The sequence below is a fragment of the Homo sapiens genome, chromosome 11, assembly GCF_000001405.40.
Source record: "Homo sapiens chromosome 11, GRCh38.p14 Primary Assembly".
Classification (NCBI taxonomy): domain Eukaryota; kingdom Metazoa; phylum Chordata; class Mammalia; order Primates; family Hominidae; genus Homo; species Homo sapiens.
Genome location: NC_000011.10, coordinates 70,349,486 through 70,371,665, shown reverse-complemented (window position 1 = coordinate 70,371,665; position 22,180 = coordinate 70,349,486). Strand labels below are relative to the sequence as shown.

The window sequence follows — 22,180 nt, the reverse complement described above, 5'->3', positions numbered from 1 at the left end:
CTCATAGCAACTGATGAAAGAAGCAAAAAAAGAAAAAAATTAAGAATATAGAAAACCTAAACTAACAACCCTTAACAAACTTGACCTGACGTTTCATAGAACACACCACCCAACAACAGAATATAGAACACTCCACCCAACAATGGAATGTAGAACACGCCACCCAACAACAGAAGATAGAACACGCCACCCAACAAGAGAATACAGAACACGCCACCCAACAAGAGAACATAGAACACGCCACTCAACAACAGAATATAGAACAATCCACCAAACAACAGAATATAGAACACTCTACCCAACAACAGAATATAGAACATGCCACCCAACAACAGAATATATATGCTTTTAATGTCTGTATAGTATATTCTCAAAGACAGACAAATCTCAACATACTTAAAGAGACTGAAATCAAGGTACATTCTCTTGACTTCAACAGAAATTAGAAATCAATAATAAAAAGCTATCTAGAACCCCCTACTAAATATTTAAAAATTAGCATACTTCTAAATAATTCACAGCAAGAAATTACAAGGGGAAATTGCTCCCTCTGTCGCCCAGGCTGGAGTGCAGTAGCGCGACCTCGGATCACTGCAACCTCGCCTCCAGGGTTCAAGTCATTCTCCGGCCTCAGCCTCCCGAGTATCTGGGATTACAAGCACAAGCCACCACACCTGACTAATTTTTGTATTTTTAGTACAGACGGGGTTTCAACATGTTGGGCAGACTGGTCTCAAACTCCTGACCTCAAGTGATCCACCACCCACCTTGGCCTCCCAAACCGCTAGGATTACAGGCGTGAGCCACTGCTGCCCCACCAGAAAATATTTTTAATTTAAAGAAAATTTTTAAAAAATTCAAAAATTGTGGGAAACAGTTAAAACAATACCGTGAGAGCAAAAATCACGACAAAGGATTATCAATGAGAAAGACCTCGAAAATCAGTGATCCAAGAGTCTGCTTTTAAAAACTTAAACTAGCCTGGTGCAGTGGCTCACACCTGTAATCCTAGCACTCTGGGAGGCCGAGGCAGGCGGATCACCTTTGGTCAGGAGTTCCGACACCAGCCTCGCCAACATAGTGAAATCCCATCTCTACTAAAGATACAAAAATTAGCTGGGCATGGTGGTACATGCCTGCAGTTCCAGCTACTCAGGAGGCTGAGGCAGGAGAATGGCTTGAACCCAGGAGGTGGAGGTTGCAGTGAGCCAAGATCATGCCACTGCACTCCAGCCTGGGAGATAGAGCGAGACTCTGTCTCAAAATTAAAAAAAATTAAAACTTAAACTAGAAGAACGAATGAAATCCACGGCAAGCAGAAGGAACAAGGTAAAAAAGCAGAAATCAATGAAACAGAAAACAGAAAAATAACAGCAAATAAACCAGTGAAATGAAAATCTAGTACTTCATAAATATCAATCAAATTAACAAACCCTAGCCGGACTAGATAAGACAAAACAGAAGATATAAATCACCACTATCAAGAATGAAAGAGGGGACCAGCCTGGCCAACATGGCGAAACCTCTTCTCTACTAAAAGTACAAAAATTAGCTAGGCATGGTGGCACATGCCTGTAATCCCAGCTACTTGGGAGGCTGAGGCATGAAAATTGCTTGAACCAGGAGGCGGAGGTGCAGTGAGCTGAGATTGAGCCACTGCACTCCAGCCTGGGCAGCAGAGCGAGGCCCCATCTCAAAAAAAGAAAAAAAAAAAAAGAGTAAAAGAGGGCAGCCAGGCATGGTGGCCATGTCGGTAACTTCAGCTACTCAGGAGGCTGAAGCAGGAGGATGGCTTGAGTCCAGGTGTCTGAGACCAGCCTGGGCAACACAGCGAGACCTTGTCTCAAAAACAAACACAAAATGACAACAAAGAGGGGACATCAATATAGATTCAATAGACATTGAAAGAATAAGGGAATACTGTGAACAATTTTAAGCAACTTAGATGAAATGGACAAATTTCTTAAAAGATAAACTACCAAAGCTTCTCAGAAACAGGTAACACGTATCTCTATTAGAACCTGAAGTTGTAATCATAAATCTTCTAACATACAAAAAAGAAAATCTCTACCCAAGATAGCTTCACTGGTGAATTCTACCAAACATTTATCAACATAAATAAATAAATAAATAACCACGATTCTACACGAAGTGTTCCAAAAAAGTTTGAAACACCTTATCTCATTCTATGAGGCCAGCATCATCCTGAGAGCAAAACCAAAGATGTAACAAAACTATAGATCAGTAGCCCTCAGGCAGATCCAAAAATATGTAACAAAATATTGCCAAGTCAACAACATATTAAAACAATAAGATATCATGACAAGTATGGCTTATTATTCTAGAAACATAAGTTGATTCAACATTTGAAAAGAAAAATCAATGAAACTCACCATATGAAGAGATTGAAAAAAAACCATATCATCTCAAAAGATGCAGAAAAAGCATTTGACAAGATTTGTCATCATTTATGGAACTCCAAGCATTCCGGAAATGTAAGAAAAGTGCCTCAACTGGATAAAAGGCATTTACAAAAACCCTACAGTGAACATCATACTTAATGTAAAAGACTGCTCAGCTGGGCATGGTGGCTCATGCCTATAATCCCAGCACTATGGGAGGCAGAGGTGGGCGGGTCACTTGAGGTCAGGAGTTTGAGAACAGCCTGGGCAACATGGTGAGACCCTGTCTCTTTAAAAAAAAAAAAAAAAAAGACTGACTGTGTTTCTCCTAAGATAAGGAACAAACGAAGGATGTCCACTCTCACCACTTTATTCTACACTGTACTGGAAATCCCAGTCACTGTAAGAGGTCAAGAAAGAGAAATAAAAAGCACATAAATTGCAAAAGAAATAAAATTGTCTTTATTTGAAGATGACAAAATTATCAGTGTAGAAAAGGAATCTACAAAATAGCTATCAGAATAAGTGGGTTTAAGCAAAGTTGCAGGATGCAAGGCCAATTTATAAAAATGAACTATATTTCTAAATACTAGCAATGAACTGAAAATTGAAATTTAAAAAGTATCATTTACAGTGGCATCAAAACCTGCAAAATCCTCAGGGATAAATCTAACAGAATGCATGCAAAATGTGTACAATGAAAAAGAACTAACACATTCTATACACACACATATCGAAGGAAGGTACCCGAGGTACCTGAAGTCTGCAGCTGAGGAAGACTAAGTTATGGTCACCAGTCATAGCTACCTTATGGTATCTTTGTAGTGACTCTCAACTAACACCATGTTGGTCTTGAAACTATGGCTTCCAGTATCATTTGTTATTTGGTCCAAACTAGAAGCAATAACTCAAATTCTAAATTTAAGTTAAGCAATAACTCAAATTCTCTAATTTAAACAAAGAATGTTTAAATTCTACTAGAAAAAAATGCTTCACTACCTTCTCTAAAAAGAGAGAAATATGCCAAACATTTTTGGGTAATTATCAGCTATCTAACAGCATCACCATGCTTGATTCACTCTTCTAAACCTTACCCTTACAGGCCTGATATTTATTTATTTATTTAGAGACAGGGTCTCGCTCTGTCACCCAGGCTGGAGTGTAGTGGCATGATCTCGGCTCACTGTAACGTCCACTTTCCGGGCTCAAGCGATTTTCCAGCCTAAGCCTCCCAAACAGCTGGGACTACAGTCTCAAGCCAACAATACCTGGCTAATTTTTATATTTTTTGTAGAGACAGGGTTTCCCCACGTTGCCCAGGCTGGTCTTGAACTCCTGGGCTGAAAGCGATCCACCTGCCTCAGCCTCCCAAAGTGCTGGGATTACAGGTGTGAGCCACTACACCTGGCCTAGGCCTGATACATGTAGCAGGGATATCTGGTATTATTCTCTTGCTTGCTGATTATGTATTCTTAAATGGGGAAATTAAACAAAGGAATTGTCTAAATAGAAAACTGCATGGAAGCAGAACCCTACTTGTTTCTGTTTCCTCATTATATGCTCTGCTCAGACTCCTGAAGTGGCCTATAACATGAACTCCCAGAAGGATCAGGCTCCATCCCAGGGAGACCCACCTCTTCTCCTGGGCTGCCTTAGCAGCCTTCTGGAAAAAAAACATACCAGGTGATGTCAGTCCAGAGAACATCTGAACTAGAAGAGACACCCACTGCACAGTGTTTACTCCCAGCACTGAAACAGCCACAAGTACAACCCAGTCTTATGAACTCCATAAAATGGGAGCTCCATGACGGGGGGACCATGGGTGTCCTGCTCATAGATGCTCCACGCAGCCAGCACTCTTACTAATTTTGTTAAATGAGGTATAAATGGTTTTGACCACGCCTTGATGTCTTCCTCCCCTAGTCTCTCGGCGCAGCTCAAAGTTCTCCCTGGTTTAAGAGCTGGCCACTGTGTACTGCCCTTGGCAGCAGGTGGCAGTCCCATCTGGAAGACAGGAAGGAGGGAAAAGTGATACGAGCTTCCACTAGACTGCATGTCGGCTAGTTCTGGAGTCATCACCACAGCTCAGTCTTGTTTATATTTCCACCGCAAAGAGCAAGGTTAAGCTTATTTAATTTACACTTCCTGTCCCTGACTCAGGCAATTTCATACTGAAGTATTAACCAAATTCTGCTCCTTGGTGGAAAATATACTGAAATTTAAGTAATTATGAAATGTACCCTGTATAATTCATTTATGGTCATTATTGGTCCTATAAAGGGATATCTAACAAGTTAAACAATGAGGTTATTTATCTGGAGGAGAGGCACAGAATGCTTAAATCAAGAGAGAAAAAAGCCCACAGAATCACATTATAGCTACTCTATTTTGTTAAAAAATACAAATAAAAAATAAAAATAAAAAAAGGTGGGGGGACAGTCTAATGAGCTAGATTTTAGGAGTACCAAGAGAAGGAAACAGCTGCTTCAACCATCACCTCGTAATCAGGAAAATTATGATTTAAAATCCTTTTGATTCTTTTCAGATATATAATGATTATTCTGAAGCCCTCAAATACAGTCCATTCGGGAAAGCCTCTAGAACTGCCTGTCCACGCCTCATGGCTGCAATGTGCCACTGAGACATACACCCTGACCACAGAAGGCCAGTGGCGTCGCACGACATTTCGGCAAGCTGTCTGAACATACAGAATGCAAAACAGTTGGGATAGAGTTTTTGGTGAGTTAAAGAATTGAGAAGCTGAAAATTCAAATATACAGTACTCAAGAAGAGGCTTAATTCCTTAGGATTCCATTAGTAAGAAAATCTTTAAGTGGACATAGTATTAGGATAGTATTTAGTAAAAAATCAACACAAAGGCACAGAGGAAAAGTCATTATGCCAATTTTTGTGTTTGGAAATTTATTAGAGCACAATTTCCCTATCAGTATATCTTGTAATAACATTACCCTACCAGGAAATTACATACATAATCTCAGAAGCTGCCTAAGCCACAAGACTTTGTATACAAGATCATATGTTAAACAAAGCAATCTATATTAATTAAAAATAACTGCCATGGCACCATATGAGAAATGTTCAAAATTGTCCATGAGACGTACTCTTTGATGCTATGTTTTGCTTGACCAGTGCTTTCAAATCATTAACAATCCTGTACTCCGAATAAACTAAGATGCTATAAACATCAAAAAAAGTAGATTACACAAGTTTTCATACTCCAATTGCTTTTTGCTGCTGTACATGTAGTGAAGAATATATTAGAGAAAGACTCCAACCTGAGCCCAGCTTCCCTCCTCATCTTCCTGGGGTTACGTGGTTAGGAATGCAAAAGAACATAACTATTAGTATTGGTGAGCTCGGTAATGCAGGCAACGCAACTCTGCAGGGAAGATGCAGCTTCACTGAGTGAAAAAGTTCAGACTATCAAAGCATCATGCAAAACTCATGCAAAACCAACAATTTCAACTTCTCATGCAAGGAGCAGACTCTCTCCGTGCCAAGCATATTCATGGAAGGAGAAAGGGCCACACAGTCAGTCACATGGAGGCTCAACTGAGATCTCTCCAAAAGGAGAGCTAGATTAAAGCTATTCTAAAAGACAGAGTCTACCAACTTGAAGTTCCTGGAAAAAATCTAAAATAAAATACAAATTCTACTTACACATTTCAACTAATAACTAAAGGAAATACTTATCTGGAACGACTGAATGGAAAACAACATTTTGTTTTCAACAAAAAGGCAAAGAACCCAGACGGTCTTAAGTGGAAAACGCGCTGGGAGGAGTGCAGGCTGTGGGGCGTGACTAACCGTTTGCGGCGTGGCTGCGAGCGTTTCCATCTCTTCGTGTGTTAACCAGACATTTCCTGTGGTCTAAGGTGACCCCAGTGCACCAACCACATCCAGGGCAAGGGAAGCAGTGACAAAGAGGAGAGGGGCACACGCATAAGCCACAGGCACAGAGAAGGGGCCGAGGAGGCAAAGTTCGCTCTTCTCACTTTTCAGTTCAGATGCCCGTACAGAATAACCATTCCCTGTTAACACTGGGTCGTCAACACCATCAGGAGAAGAGCACACGATGACGAGAGCTTTAGATGCCATGCTTACCCGAGGTATGTGAAATATCAAGAGAAGAAAACACGTTGTGTACTTCTGGAAACTTTGAGTAATTCTCAAGTAACTATTGATTCAATATATTTAAAGCAGATTAACAACAAAGAACCCAGCATGAAACTCTTGCTTTGGCTATTGGAGGGCTTTCTCGCAGATGTTCCGTGACGGCCTGAAAGGCTGAAGGCAGGCCACAGGGCAGAGGGGGTCACTGCTAAGCAGTGTCGATGGCTCTGTGCAGCCATCAGAACCAGACACGAGACAGACAGTGGCCTGTGTGTCTACTTGAGGGAGATTTTTTCCTTGCATTTTGACATGGTGTGAAGAGTCTGCCTTATGTGAGGTGTTCTCCATCATTACTGAAGACAGTGGATAAACATGGGAGAAACCACTCAGCACCTTCATTTTCAGCAAGGCCACTGTCATGTGAAACAACCAGGGAAGAGCTCAGACACTGCTCCTGAGGCAGGCTGTGGGAAAGGAGCTCTTGGAGCAACAGGGGAGGACAAAGCTTATTGTTCATCACCATAATTTGTTCATTAAGAAGAAAAAAATAAATAAAACAAGTAAAACCCCTCAAAACTTTTTTTGTAAGGTAACTGGGAGCCCTAAATCCAGCGCTGACGTGCTCCTTGGAGAAATGTGTGAGGCTCTTCATTGCAACAAGAATTTGTTTTCTCCTGAGGAGACTAAAAGCAGAGACTGGGAATCCAGCCAGTGTAAAAAGTCTCAACTTTATAAATCTGGAGTTGGCCTGCCCTTATCTCCCAATAACCATTCTTGTTTTTATTAACATAGTTCTTCTTTTTCAAGTAGGATAACCCTTCTTAAGGACTTTGAGGGACTTCCCACATGGAGAGAAACTGTATAAGTACAGCTCATGTTGGATGAACATTTGCAGATTTGTGAACTGCTTGAAATCCTGAGCTCCCAGGGTCTTTAGCTCCCCAAATGGAAAACACCTACAGGCCAAATAAATCAAATACAGTAAAACACTGGTTACAAGGCAACCAGTGATCTCATCTTTATTTTCCCCTTTAGTTTTTATTTTAAAAAATGTCCGCAAACTGGAATGATGGGGAAGGGAGGATTAGAATTCTTTAGGGACCTTTTCCAAGCATGGCTGTGCATGCCTGTAGTCACAGCTACTTGGGAGTCTGAGGCAGGAGGATCGCTTGAGCCCAGGAGTTCCAGACCAGCCTAGGCAACAAAGTGAGACCCATCTCTACAAAAAATACAAAAATTCCTTAGGGATCAGTTTTGACGGTGGGATAACAAGTATCTCTTACTAGTATGTCACCTATATTTCAATGGATGCTTCTGGCTGGGCATGGTGGCTCACACCTGTAATTTCAGCACTCAGGGACTCTGAGGCAGGAGGACTACTGGAGGCCAGGAGTTCCAGACCAGCCTGGTCAACACAGCAAGACCCTGTCTCTAAGAAGTTTTTAGAAATTAGCTGGGTGTGGTGGTGCACACCTGTAGTCCCAACTACTTGGGAGGCTGAGGTGGGAGGATCGCTTGAGCCCAAGAGGTTGAGGCTGCAGTGAGCTACGATTGAGCCACTGCACTCCAGCCTGGGTGACAGAGTAAGACCTTGCCTCCAAAAAATAAAAAACTTAAATAAATAAATAAATGGGTGCTTCTAAGAAGCCTGGAAGAGCCAGTCCTCTGAACTAGACAGAAAAATTTTACTCAAGATGCTACTTACACATGGAATGATACGGATGAATTCACAGACATAACATTAAGTGAAAGAAGCCAGACACAAGAGAGTGAATACTACATGATCTTGTTTATACACATGAAGAACGAAACTAACAGAGCAGTCTATGGCACCAGGAGCCAGGCACTCATCCCTAGGGAAGGGGCAGTGCCTCAGAAGGAGCAGGAGGCCTCCAGAGCCCTGGTCAGATCCCATTTTTCAATGTAGGTGTGGACCACACAGGGGATGCTGACTTTACAGATTCATTTAACTGTTCACTCATACGTGCATTTCTCTATATGTATATTATATTCCAGTAACATTTAAAAATACACTATAATTGGCTTAGCAAATATCTTTATATATAGTACAAATGTTAATTACTCAGTTTGAATCATGAAAACTGAAAAATGAAATTCAAAACATTTAATTATAAAATGTGTCCTTAAAATATTAACTTTTTCCTTCAAGAGGCCCTTAGACTGATTCAATTTTGATAAACTCAGCTGGGTGTGGTGGCTCACGCCTGTAATCCCAGCACATTGGAAGGCTGAGGTGGGAGGACTGCTTGGAGCCCAGGAGTGCAAGACCAGCCTGGGCAACACAGCGAGACCCCCATCTCTACCAATTTTTTTTGGTATTTTCGTATTTCATATTTCCATATTTAAATTTGTAATTGCTTTTCTATGTTTAAAAAAGCTCATATTTTTATACTATGAAGCCATTCTAGCCAATCTTTCATAAAAGCATTTAATAAAGTTTCTTTTGACCATCCAATTCCCCAAAATTAAAAGTTCTAATGTATGTGATGCTAAAATTTTGAATTAGAACTATACTTCATATGCTGTTAAGGAACTGGAGAAGCAATGTAAACAGGGCAGTGATACCTTCAGAGAGGCATTCCCTGTTTCCAAAGAATGCAGGGGTTGTCTCTGAACGTACCGTTCTAGATGTGGGCGGGGCAGACGGGCTGGTCAGCGACATGATCTCCTGGATGGCCAGCCTCAGCTTCAGCCTGTGCAGGGGGTTGCTGATGCCAATCTCACGCTGGATCTCTGTGTCGGACAGGGCCGACATGATGGCCCCGCTTTTCACGTTTGCTCGGCAGGCAGCCACATACCAGGCTGGCATCCCAACCCAGAGCTGGAGGCGGAAAGCGGAAGGAAGGCAGCACAGTGAGGTACAGTCTACAAAGTAGAACAGTAAGTTCACATACTGTAACCCACGCAACTGCATGTTAAATGAAGGATGTACCTCTAGCCAGACCACAACCGTTGGCCCGTCCCATTGGGCAAAAGGTAAACCTTGTCTCCGGGCTTCCTCCAGCAATTCATGCCTATAAAGGAGAAGATATTGAAAATTAAAGAATCAGCCAGGCATGGTAGCTCACACCTGTAATCCCAGCTCTCTGGGAGGCCAAGGCAGGAGGACCACTTGAGCCCAGGAGTTCAAGACCAGCCTAGACAACACAGCGAGACCCCAACTCTACAAAAAATTTTAAAAATTTGCAAGGTGTAGTGACACACCCCTGTAGTCCCAGCTACTCGGGAGACTGAGGCAGGAAGACTGCTTGAGGCCAGTAGTTCAAGAGCAGCCTGGGCAATATAATGAGATGCATCTCTACAAAAATTAAAAAAAAAAAAAAAAATCAGCCAGGTATGGTGACGCATGCCTGTAGTCTCAGCTACTTGGGAGGCTGAGGTGGAAGGATTGCCTGAGCCCAGGAGGTCAAGGCTACAGTAGGCCATGACTGTGCCACTGCACTCCAGCCTAGGCAACAGAGTGAGACCCTATCTCTAAAAAAAAAAAAAAATTACAACCAGCAAAAACAAAATCAAGGAACCACTATTATACACATATATAAAATTAGTTAACGAAGTGTTCTGAGCATTTGCAAAAGTCTAGCAGTATACAGTCTGCCCTCTGTATCTGCGGCTTCCACATCCACACAGTCAACCAACTGCAGATCAAAAATATTCAGTGGGAAAAAACAAAAAAAACCAATACAGTACAACAGCTATTTACATAGCACTTACATTCCGTTGGGTATTGTAAAGAACCTAGAGATGATTTGAAGTCTACAGGAGATTATGCCTACGTGATACGGAAATACCATGCCATTTCATACAGGAGACTTAAGCTTCCATGGATTTTGGTATTCAGGAGGGGTCCTGGAACCAATCCCCCATAGACTCTGAGAGACGACTATACATGCTCATCATTTTCCTTTCATCTTCTACAGCTTTAACAGTATCAACACCATCCATTTCACACTAGTTCTGTGCATACTACAAAGAATGCCTGAGTGAGAAAATACTGAATGACTCCCTCTGACTCTCTACAGAATCCCCGTCTCCTTACAGAATCAGAGGTTAACATAATGCTCTCTAACATAGGTATTTCAGAAATAACACTATAAGCTTGGTGAATCTCATCTTATTTCTCAAGTGTTTACCTACAAGGCTTTCAAAGAGGCTAATTGTTTTAAAAAATAAAAAGTCTCAGAGAGAAGGTGTCATTGTAATGGAGAGGACACATACATTTGGTTTGCAAGTACAGATATCCCCAAGTCATTCAAACATCCCTAGGCTGCTTTTAGTCCATTTTTTCTATAATAATTTCATAAGACATATACCATAGAATCTCTTATTTTTAAAAATTTGATATTGGCTCTTCAATACATTTCAATAGCAGCAGACTTTTCTTAGGAGTATGAAGTGGTATCGCAAGATGCGAAATGAAGAGGTTGGGAGGAAGGGCGCGCTGCATGGCGCCAATCACCAGGTGGTGGCTGAAACCCTGCCTTCCGTTCCCTTGGGACAAATGCCACTCAAAGACAGCCAGTAGAGCTTCCTTCACACACCAGTGGGTCTAGGAAGTAGTACAGGTAATTCCTGCCACATCAATCCCAGAAAAAGCTCTGAACGCTAACAATCTGGTTAACTGCTAAGGCTTTGAGCGTCCGGGGCCTGGCCAAGGCGCAGGGAGGATCTGACTGCTGCCAAGTCAGGAGGGTTCCCAACTTACGCTCAGCCTTGGCACTCTGCCAGAGACTTCGTTTTTTAACATGTAATAGATACTCACTGTAAATAAAAATAATTGTCAAAAAATAATTCTTTACTTCTATTACTTGGAGACTGGTGTACACTGTCCTAGACTTCACCAGTACCCTCTTCCTGGCAATGATCACTAGCTTTTATAAAAAGTCTTTTCCAGAATGGAGATGCTTCTGGGTCCAGAGGCAACAGTGGAAACAGTGTTAAGACAGTGGAGGTAGACGGATGTGTCTAAGAGTCACAGGAAGTTAGGGAGAAGGCAGAGGAGACCCCATCTGGGTGGCGGGCCCAGGCCTCGGTGTGTGTCCTGGCTCCCCTCCCCTATCAGACCAGTCCATGATCTGTAAGACCAAACATGGGACCATGCCCCTGGGCTGGCACTCCAGGTGGGAACACCAGAGCCCCTGTTTTCTCTGGGGGGACTGTTCCAATCACGGGAAGAAGGCCCCTGTGTCGAGGGGATGCAGAGTCCAGAGCCTGGAGATGGCTGAAGCCACTCCACCCTGGCCCTCTGGGCCGTTCATTTACATGAACAACTACATTCCTCCTTTATTGCTTGATCTCAGACTTGGCTCTTTCACTTGCTACTGAGAATGCTATAATGCAAAAAGGTCATATAATTTGTGAATAATGTTGTGCATTTTATAATTAAGACATAGCATAACGGTAAAGTTGTCTTTCATAATGAGAAGCTTGTGTGAGTTTTTGCTGATCAAACAGTATGTAAGGGATGGGAGGAAGTACTTTCTCTCAACTATCGAAACTAAATATATTGCCTTACTTTCTTAAGACTGAAGCTTTTCAATCCTCTGGCACCCTGCATAGAGTGAACAAGACTTGCTTTCACAGGTACAGTTGCTACCTGGGTGACAGAGCAGGACCCTCTCCAAAACCCATAAAAAAACACCACCACCACAAGTACAGTTCTGTGACCCAGGCATAGCCCCTCCCATGCTCCATTGCCATGGCACACTGGCAGAGTCCTGAGGAAAGATGTAGGGTCGCCCTGATGAGAAATGGATGGAGTCAGCATTTCTCATGCAAAACTAAAAAGATCCTTGGGCCAGGTGTGGTGGCTCATGCCTGTAATCCCAACACTTTGAGAGGCAGAGGCAGGAAGATCACTTGAGGCCAGGAGTTCAAGACCAGCCTGGTCAACATATTGAGACCTCTGTCTCTACTAAAAATAAAGGTCAAGGCTGCAGTGAGTGGTGAACGCGCCACTGCACTTCAGCCTGGGCAACGGTGCAAGGGCCTTCTTTTATTTTGCAAGGGCAAAAATAAAAAAATAAAAAGATCCTCTCAGGAAGCTCAGCATAGAGCCTGTGGCTGGTGACTGCCCACACTCAGCCCAGCAAATCTCCCGAGTCTGCTTACCCTGAGAAAGCACTACGAAGACAAAAAGGAGAACATGAAAAGGGAACACTTTAAAAGCAAGGTTACTTCAAGAGATGGTGTTTCAAGAACGCTGGGGAATTCTAAAAGTGCTGTGGAGGCACTATGCGCTATCAAAGCTGACGAATGGCTCTAGGACAGCCAGCCCCGACTTGCGGGTTCATTACTACGTATCCCAGGCACCAAACGCGCCCACCATGCTGTGTCTTACAAAACTTGAAATCAGCTTGCCACCAAACTCACCAGATTCCTTAAGTTCTCTGTAAGTGAAAGCATCTGGCTGTGTAAATTTTGCAGTTAAAACACACCTTTGAGTTAAATCAGGGGTTAATAAGAAGAAAATAATTCTGAGAAATATACGTTCGTTCTTAAGATGGCATAAATATTAAACTGTATTCACACAATACTTTTTCTGGAAAACGCAAACTTTTTTTCACATTTATATGTAGACATTTTAGGCCAGGCGTGGTGGCTCACGCCTGTAATCCCAACACTTTGGGAGGCCGAGGTGGACAGATCGCTTCAGGTCAGGAATTCGAAACAAGCCTGGCCAACATGGTGAAACCCCATCTCTACTAAAAATTCAAAAAAATTAGCTGGGCACGGTGGCACACGCTTGTAATTCCAGCTGCTGGGAGGCTGAGGCAGGAGAATCACTTGAACCCAGGAGGCGGAAGTTGCAGTGAGCCAGGATCGTGCCATTGCACTCCAGCCTGGGCGACAGAGTGAGGGACTTCGTCTCAATCAATCAATCAATAAATAAAGCACTTTTTCTAAAATCAGTTTTATCTCAGTTTAAGTGAAAGAAACGAAACTGCCCTCTATAGTCAGACAAATAATCTTTGTACTTGGAAATTTTCCCCACTAAGGAGCTGGTACATTTCAGAACTTCCACATGGATCCCAAGCACAACATAAAGGACAGAGAAGTTTTATTTCACTTCCTCATACTTACTATCATAAAAACAGTAACATTAGCAAAATCTAAGGAATGAAATTTTCCTAGCATGTTTCCAGGAGGCAGAAAGTTTAGCTCTAACATTAAGTTTCACAGGGCCAAATGGCAATTACCCAAGTTATTTGAAAACATTCTTGGCTGGGCGCGGTGGCTCACGCCTGTAATCCCAGCACTTTGGGAGGCTGAGGCGGGCAGATCACGAGGTCAGGAGATCAAGACCATCCTGGCTAACATGGTGAAACCCCGTCTCTACTAAAAATACAAAAAATTAGCCGGGTGTGGTGGCGGGCGCCTGTAAGTCCCAGCTACTCGGGAAGCTGAGGCAGGAGAATGGTGTGAACCCAGGAGGCAGAGCTTGCAGTGAACTGAGATTGCGCCACTGCACTCCAGCGTGGGTGACAGAGCGAGACTCCATCTCAAAAAAAAAAAAAAAAATTCTTACACAGTTCAAGCATAGCAATGTTCAAATCAGATTTTGCTGTTACGTGGTTTCTATAAATTTCCATTTACAGGGAACCAAAAAACTGAGTATTCCTATGGTACTGTTAACATAAAAGCATTTTACCTAAAATATAATCAATACAGCATTTATAAAGGCTTTGAAAAGAAAACTAAAATGAGATAGATTTCACAACAGAAAAAAATCAGCTGGCAACTCTAGGGGCTAAAGGCAAAGGGGCCTCTAGGGGAGAGGGTCCCCATAGGCTCTGGTGCATCTTTGGGCCCCAATTTCCAGATGAGCACTGGTTTCTCAGGGCACTTAAAAGTGGCCAGATGATTTTTCCCACAGTCACAGTCATCATACAGCCCGTCAAGTTTCACCCTGTAAGCCTGGCATTACCATCTTCCACATTGCTCAAGCTCAGCCCTTATCCCATGGACTACACAAACTGCCTATTTTATTGCAGAACTGGGTTTAGTTTTGTTCTACATTTGTTGGCTCACTTGGGCACTGTCTCAGCCTATCTACTTCATCTACAGTCAGCCAACACGCAACTCACCCCGCATCCCAGAAGGCCCAGGGACAGAAACCCGATTCCTCCACGTCCTCACCCTGGGGCATCACAATGCCTGTTCTCCTTTGTTCAAAGCCATCCCAAATATTAGAGCTTATTGTCAGAAGCAGACTTAGTTTAGAATTAAAGCTGAATAAACGGGCTATAAAATCAGGAGTCTATTTGAGATAAAACTACCCGATCTACGGAAGAGAGAAAAATGCAGCATGGCGACTGTTTCGGACAGACCAGCAGTATGAAGAGCAAATCCTGAATGCTGGCAAGCAACAGTCGCTGCACTGGCCACAGCTACAACTTGTTTATGACTTGCTGGTACTGTTTAAAGAACTGTATGCACATTATCCCATTTAATTCTCATAAAAGCCATACAAGGTATGTACTACTAGGATCCCCACTTTACAGATGAGAAAACTGAAGCACAGAGATGCTAGGCCACTTCCTCAACGTCACAAAGTGAACCTGGGCAGGCGCCAGGGCCGACTCCAGTGCTCAGGCAGCTGAGTCCAACTCTCACCCACCCTATCTCCTGGTTGGACAGCTTTCCAAGATGATAGGGATACCAGTGTGAGTTTCTTCGAAATTTCACAAACACTAAATCTTCCAGAAAGTACGGCTTAATTAAGGCTGTAGGTAAAGCTTTCAGAATATAATGTATATATACATAGCTAGCTATTATAATTAACAAACACTAGTTAGAGCTTAGGCACAACTGAAAACCATTCAATGAGATGAAGAAATAACACAAAGCTTACTTTTTTTGAAGTTTACGATTTTTTTCAGCCTGTCCCCCCAATTTGCTAAGTCCCAAGGCATCCTGAGATGAGTTATCCGTCTCGGAAACACCAGCTGTGAGGAAGCAGAACAGCCCAGAAGTAAAAATCAGCATGACAAAGCTCTATGTTTTCATAAATAGGCAGATGAATATTTGCAGGTTCAGATTTAAATCATTTCTTAAGGCTAAGTTTCTGACTAGACAACCAAATGCCCAAGACGGAAATGCTCAAGACAGGAAATGTGTTGTACCTGAGTGGCAAGTGAGCATAAACTGCTGCTCTCTAGCTCCCATGCCTTCACAGCTGCTGCTCCCTGGAGAGCACACGGCTCCTGGAGCACCGCGTGGGAACTGATGGCACCGAAGGCAGTGCCTTCCTCCCCGACCCCTGGGTGCTGAGAAGGGTGCGGAAAACCAACCAACCTTGTCCTAATGCTTCTTTGCCAGTTTGTCCAGGTCGGCCCTTTTCTTTCTTGCCAAACAAGCGGCCAATGGAGGACTTAATGCCTTTCTTCTTTGGGGCTTTGTGGAGCGAGTCCTGGCTACTGTTGCTACTGCTGGGGTTGCTCACGGGACCATCCTGGGAGCCTGTGGAGCTTCGAGGAAAGAAAACGGATCTTTACTATGTGCCCTTGTAGGATACTTCACATATTAACAGTCGCAAACTTCCCTACAAGCACTTCCAGTCTCTTTCACACACATCTTCCTCACCAAGTGCATCATGCATGATAAAGGCAGACTCCCGGCGAGGCCAGCGCGGAGACCCATTCTGGGCAGCTGAGACTCTCTCTGACATGGAGCTCCCCTCCCCTTCAGGGGAGGCCCTGACTCCGCGCCATCAGGTGCCAAAGCCCAATGGTCTGCCTGCTTCCCCTCCAGCAGCTCCCACAACCGCCCTGAGCATTACTCTACTCAGCTGAGAACCGTGGCAATGTTAACTGCCTGAGGGGTTACTGCAAAAATTAATATACATGCCTCCCCTGCATATTGCCTGGCACAGAACCGAAATCCAATGGAATTTAAAAAAAGAGGGGCCGGGCGCGGTGGCTCACGCCTGTAATCCCAGCATTTTGGGAGGCCGAGGCGGGCAGATTATGAGCTCAGGAGTTCGAGACCAGCCTGGCCAGCATGGTGAAACCCCATCTTTACTAAAAATACAAAAATTAGCCGGGCATGGTGGTGTGCGCCTGTAGTTCCAGCTACTCGGGAGGTGAAGGTTGTGGTGAGCCAAGATCATGCCACTGTACTCCAGCCTGGGCAACAGAGCAAGACTCTATCTCAAAAAGAAAAAAAAAGATAGCATAGATAGCATACTAGTAACAAAACAGCTGATTGGTTTCCTGAGAGGGGACACTCACTAAATTGGTAAGTACAACTTGGAACTCTCCACAGTTTACAAAAGGCACAAGAAAGGCACGGGTTGTCCTAGAGAGCGGTTCCAATACCAAGCCTGTCATCTGCTTGCCAAACTCTCCATCAAGAATAGAAAGTAGTCAATTTATAGACTCTGAAGACATGAAGTTTTTCCAAAACTTGCTGATATCATTTAACTCCTTTCTTTCCAAACTAAGCTTGCCCAAACAGATATGCATCTTCTGCTGGATTTCACTATAGCCCAGAGCAGTGGTAAGCATTCTAAGTGTAACATGTAAATACACTCAACTGAATTAATGGGTAATTCTACAAAATCACTGTTTTACTCAAGGAAAGATTTGTCGATTTCTCAACACCAGAAACGAAAAGACAGGTGCGCTCTGCATGGGGCTGCTGCAGGCTCCTTACTTCCTTATGTCCCTGATGTCCTCGTGGCTGACGGTGTGCAGCGCCCCTTTGTGCAGCCGGTCTAACCGAAGGGCTCTCGGGGAGGAAGGCGGGGAGGTTTCACACTTTATGGTTGTCTTGTCATCTCGTACCTCTTCTCTGGAAGGTGGCAACTGAGGGGTGAGAGAAGTGCAAAGTTAGTTAACAGCAGACTGTGAAAAACTCAGGCCTTAAATTATAGCCATAAACTTCTTTGAAAATCGATTTGCTGTGCTTTCTGCCAGCACAGAAAGTCTTGTTTCAGTCTGGCACCATTCTGAAGGGCCACGCAGCACAGCACCACAGAGTTGTCAGACTCCTGGTCTGCCTCCCCACGAGCGTGCGCTGGGGCCCAACAGGACACAGGTATGCCCCTCATCCTCAGCCTCCTCCATGCAGCCCAAGGTTCTGCCCTCCCCGGAATCCTAGGCACATCATGAGGACAGTCTCTGAAGGGGCAGCAGAGATCTGAACAACACCGATAAACCACATCGTTACAAATGTGAGACAGCATTAACTTGCACTAATGAAGAGCCAGTAACAAATACGTTTATCTCCTGATGTCCTTCAAAAGAAACACTAGAGAGGGCAAGAAACCACTTGGGCAAAATTGTCAAATACCTTTTTTGTCTGAACGGGGTAAAAATAAACAAGGAACAGCCCATGACCCCCATACACATGTGTATGGCTCATATTTCTCAATGTTTGGATGGACACTATAAATTCAAGCACTTTTATGCAGTTTAAACATTTTTGTTCAATATAGCTTAAAAGAAAATACTTCTAGGCTTATCATTACAAGATGATCTTTGTCAGACTCCCAGGGTTTTTTTGTTTTTGCAGTGGAACGTGAATACGCCCATGTGCTGAGGGAGCAGGATGGTGGTTAACAACAGTGAACAGACTCACCCCTGCAGGGTCTAGGCAGATCCTGCTTATACATTTGTGTTTTCTGGTTTTGAGTGGGACTGGATTTCATAAAACATGTTCAGCAAGCATTACTATAAACAGCAAGACTTGAACAGTGAACTTTATTTTATTAAAAATAAATTTTAAGAGCCAGGTTCTTGCTGTGATTCCAGGCTGGACTGCAGTGGCTATTTGCAGGTGTGATCATGGTGCGGTGCAGCCTCAAACTCCTGTGCTCAACTGATTCTTGCCTCGGCCTCCAAAGTAGGTGGGACTACAAGCACGTACCACTGGGCTCAGTTTGAATTTCTGCTTCTTAAATGGGATTGTGTAAAGTGTATCAATCCTACTGTAGCCCCACTGTGGCTCAGGGAGGACCAAGTGCATTCAATGCAAAATGGAGCTGTGCTCATTTAGGACAGAATCTCAACTAACAGTTAAAATGCAAATGAATCCTGCATCCTTTCCTAATTTCCAGTTGCAATCACAAAACAATGAAAGGCTTTCAAAGCTAGAAATTATCAATATGAAGCTTAAGTTTCAAAATTCAGGTTAAAACAATCATCTGTTTTAAAAAAACAAAACCAAAAACAGAGTACAGAGAAAGCTGACACGCAGCCAGCTATAAGCTGGTAACAGGGTCTGGGGAAAGCCCCGTGAGCCTGGCCAGCGCTGCCCTCCTCATCCCTCCACACGCCGCCCTCCGACACCTCCACACGCCGCCCTCCCACCCCTCCACACGCCGCCCTCCGACACCTCCACACGCCGCCCTCCCACCCCTCCACACGCCGCCCTCCGCACCCCTCCACACGCTGTAGTGCTGTCACGTGCCAGACTTCTGCCTCCATCCCAGCTCAGGCCTACTAGAAAGCAGGGAAGTCCTCTTGGTCTACACCAACACCACTGACACAGAGAAGGAAGGCGACAGTCTCTTGTAGACAAGGCCTGGCACTCTGCACGCACCCCTGGTTTAACCTCACAACCACCCGAGGCCTAGGCTCCTCAAAGACACCAAGTAGCACGCTGAAGTTACCAGTGACCAACAGGGCCAGGTTATCATGCCTAAGTGTCAATCAACATGCTACTTCCTTCACTGAGAAAATCTTGCTATCAAAAAATAAAGAAAAAACAATCCAACAGAAGTCAGCTGAACTGAAGGCCGTGCTCTGTGTCTTGTTGCTGCTGGTGTAAGCTCCTTATCTCACCACAGACAGCCACAGGTCCAATGCCACTTTAAGTGGCACTGTTCTATCATTATCTTCACTTCTCAGGAGAGTAAACCAAGGTACAAACAGACTCCAGGTCACAAACTCATCAGTGACTGAACTAGGATCTGAACCCAAGCAGTTTCACTAAATCACTCAACAGAGCAGCTCACAGACAGCTGCTGACCAGGTCCCACACTTTTGTCAGAGGACAGCTGCCTTTAGGTATCTCTGAAGAGCTGTCCAGTCACTGCACCATCAGGCGGGTTTCAAACAGGGGCACAGAATACAGACCAGAGCATGAAAGTTATGAGGGAGAGATTTGGGGTCAACATAAAGAACAGCTGCTGAGCAGATCTCCTCCTAATGTACTCTACTTCCTTCGAGAACAGGAAGGCCCAATCCACAGTTATCTCTAAAGAGAAGTGGCCTTGGACCTCCTTCTGTAGGAACGCTGCCAGGGAGGTCAGAGTATCTGAGACAAGTAAGGCTAGATGGTGAAGTGGTCAACTGTCAGGTTTTGAAATCAGACAAATCTGAACTCAAATCTGCACTGTGCACTGTGGGGCCTCTCTAAGCTTTAGTTTCCACATCTGTAAAATGGGGATAACAACAGTAACCTCACAGGGATGTGTATGGGGATTAAATACGGGTTGAGCATCCCAAACCCAAAAATCTGATATTCAAAATGCTCCAAAATCTATAATTTGAGTGCTGACATGATGCTTGAAGGAAATGGTCAATGGAGCATTTCAGATTTTGGATTTTCAGATTTGAGAGGCTCAACTAGTAAGTGTAATGCAAATATTTCAAAATTTAAACAAATCTGAAATCTGAAATACCTCTGGCCCTAAGCATCTCAGATCAGGGACACTCAGCCTATACCAGACTGGGAAAGCACTCAGCACAGTGCCTGGCATACAGCAAGAGCCCAATGCTAGCTGTGATTATTATGAAAATGGGTCCCCCCGCATCTACATTCTATAGCTTTGCACTAGTAATTTCTTATTTTTAAAACTACTACATCTATGAATAAGCATGTAATGATCAGAAGGCTGAAAAGGTGAGAGAATGGCAAGCTGTTACATTTGTCCCAGTGTTCTGTGAAAACCGCTAATGACCAATTTCCAATAGAACAATTGTCAGTAAGGTGCTAGGTCACTTTAAACACTTCCATTAAAACGCCAACCATTCATTATTATACAACTACATAATGCTACATTTATGGAAAATATGATAGGTACTCTTCAATACATTATGGAGATACAAAGATATGTTAAATTACTAAACAATTTACCTTTCTACGATGTTTCCTTAAATCACTAGGCTGATAGATGCATGCAAAGAAATGAAGAGAAACCAGATTTACTATATACACTTTGAAGTTAAAAATTCAAGGATCAGTATAAGCAAATATATTAAAATAGAAATGACAGGAGACAGGATTTAGAGAAAATGTAACTGGATACAGAACCATTTTTTCACCAAAAAATTTAAATATAAGTTATTAAAGGTTTATTAGAGAAACACTATAAATTATTACTTAGATAAAATTCTATTTCATGTGTTTTATTAAAATATGGCATTCTATATAATAAAAGGCCCTAACAATCATCTATTCTAAGCCAAACCTCTCTATAACTTAGTTTTCTTTAATAAAATCCATGTTATAATTAAAAATATTCCAACGGATGAGGAAGTTACTGCAATACCAATTATAAAACTGAACAAACCTACTTTTAGTTAATCACCTGTTGGACATTAATGTAAAATCCTTACCTAGAATTTGATTTACCACTTTTCAAAAATAAATTTATTGCTTAAAGCAAGGTATCCTGTGAAAATATATAAGAACAAAAGCTAGCATAATATTAGGTAGAATCTTTACATCCATCCTATGATTCACATAAGATATTTTAATTTAAAAATAACCTATTAGAGATAGTTGATGAGACTCAACAGGCTGATGAGATTTACAGTCTTGAACACAATCATCAGAACCAGAAAGCATACTGTTTGTGTAAACAGCTTCCATTAATTCTACGCTTAGATTAGTTATGTAGGAAACACTTATGAATTACACAAATCCTACATAATTTGAGTAAAAAAACTCTTAAACACCTATGTCTTGCCTGTATCCATACTTACTATATAGTAATACACTAATTTAAATTACCATTGAGAAAAAGATACTTTTAACTGAGAAAAAAACAACCCATTAATAAAGTCATCACAGCACAAACTCACAAACATGATCGAACACACACAGTTGCGTGGTTACCTGAGCATGCTGTGAAGAATCGCTATAGCATGGGGTGGAACTGGGAGGGGAGGTGGATGAGTAAACTACTGACTGATGGGGACCTGAGGTCTGGATTAAAAATGAATCTGGAGATGGCTAAAATAATAAAACAAAAGGATGACAGGAAATCAAAACCAATGACGGAAGCATAGAGACTGTCAGCCAGCATACAGAATTACAAAACCAGAAAAAATATATATACATACACAACTGTTTTTACGAATTCTCTGGACAGAAATAAGCACAAGCCCACAAATAAAACAGTCAAAGAGTTTAAAATGTTACCTAATTAGTAGATGATGTAAATTATAAAAACAGTATTTCAAAACACTGCAAAATAGACTAGTTACCACCTCATATGCCACTAAAATGATTCACCGTCGATTTAATTGCATGCTGGCTAACAACACAACTAAAAACGAAAATAGATGGTAACGGGAAAAAATATGATAGAAGCACAGTTAAAAAGCAAATGGTGTAAATATGAAATATTTCATTGACAACACACTGACAAATTCTAAATATACAAGATA

General features: G+C 42.7%; 1 protein-coding gene and 1 long non-coding RNA gene across 34 annotated transcripts in view; one reads left to right on the top strand and one right to left on the bottom strand.

Moving 5' to 3' along the window:
• The window catches only part of CTTN-DT (CTTN divergent transcript), a 35,819-nt gene extending 26,797 nt beyond the window's left edge, over positions 1–9,022 (top strand). The window contains exon 3 of the long non-coding RNA NR_186321.1: positions 4,948–9,022. This is a non-coding gene — a long non-coding RNA (CTTN divergent transcript). The remainder of the gene's footprint in view (positions 1–4,947) is intronic.
• Positions 1–22,180, bottom strand: part of PPFIA1 (PPFI scaffold protein A1) — a 113,707-nt gene that overhangs the window by 12,731 nt on the left and 78,796 nt on the right. For 8 of the 33 annotated variants that reach the window (XM_047427770.1, XM_047427772.1, XM_011545317.3 and 5 more), the window contains 5 exons: positions 17,214–17,365; positions 15,855–16,027; positions 15,412–15,505; positions 9,490–9,571; positions 9,178–9,378 (listed from right to left, as the gene is read on the bottom strand). In XM_047427770.1, the coding sequence (XP_047283726.1) occupies positions 9,178–9,378; positions 9,490–9,571; positions 15,412–15,505; positions 15,855–16,027; positions 17,214–17,365 (702 nt within the window). Of the gene's footprint in view, positions 1–5,698; positions 5,726–6,230; positions 6,294–9,177; positions 9,379–9,489; positions 9,572–15,411; positions 15,506–15,854; positions 16,028–17,213; positions 17,366–20,642; positions 20,673–21,626; positions 21,744–22,180 lie in introns of all 33 variants that reach the window. The other 25 variants (XM_006718716.4, XM_011545309.3, XM_011545310.4 and 22 more) reach the window with 10 other exon arrangements.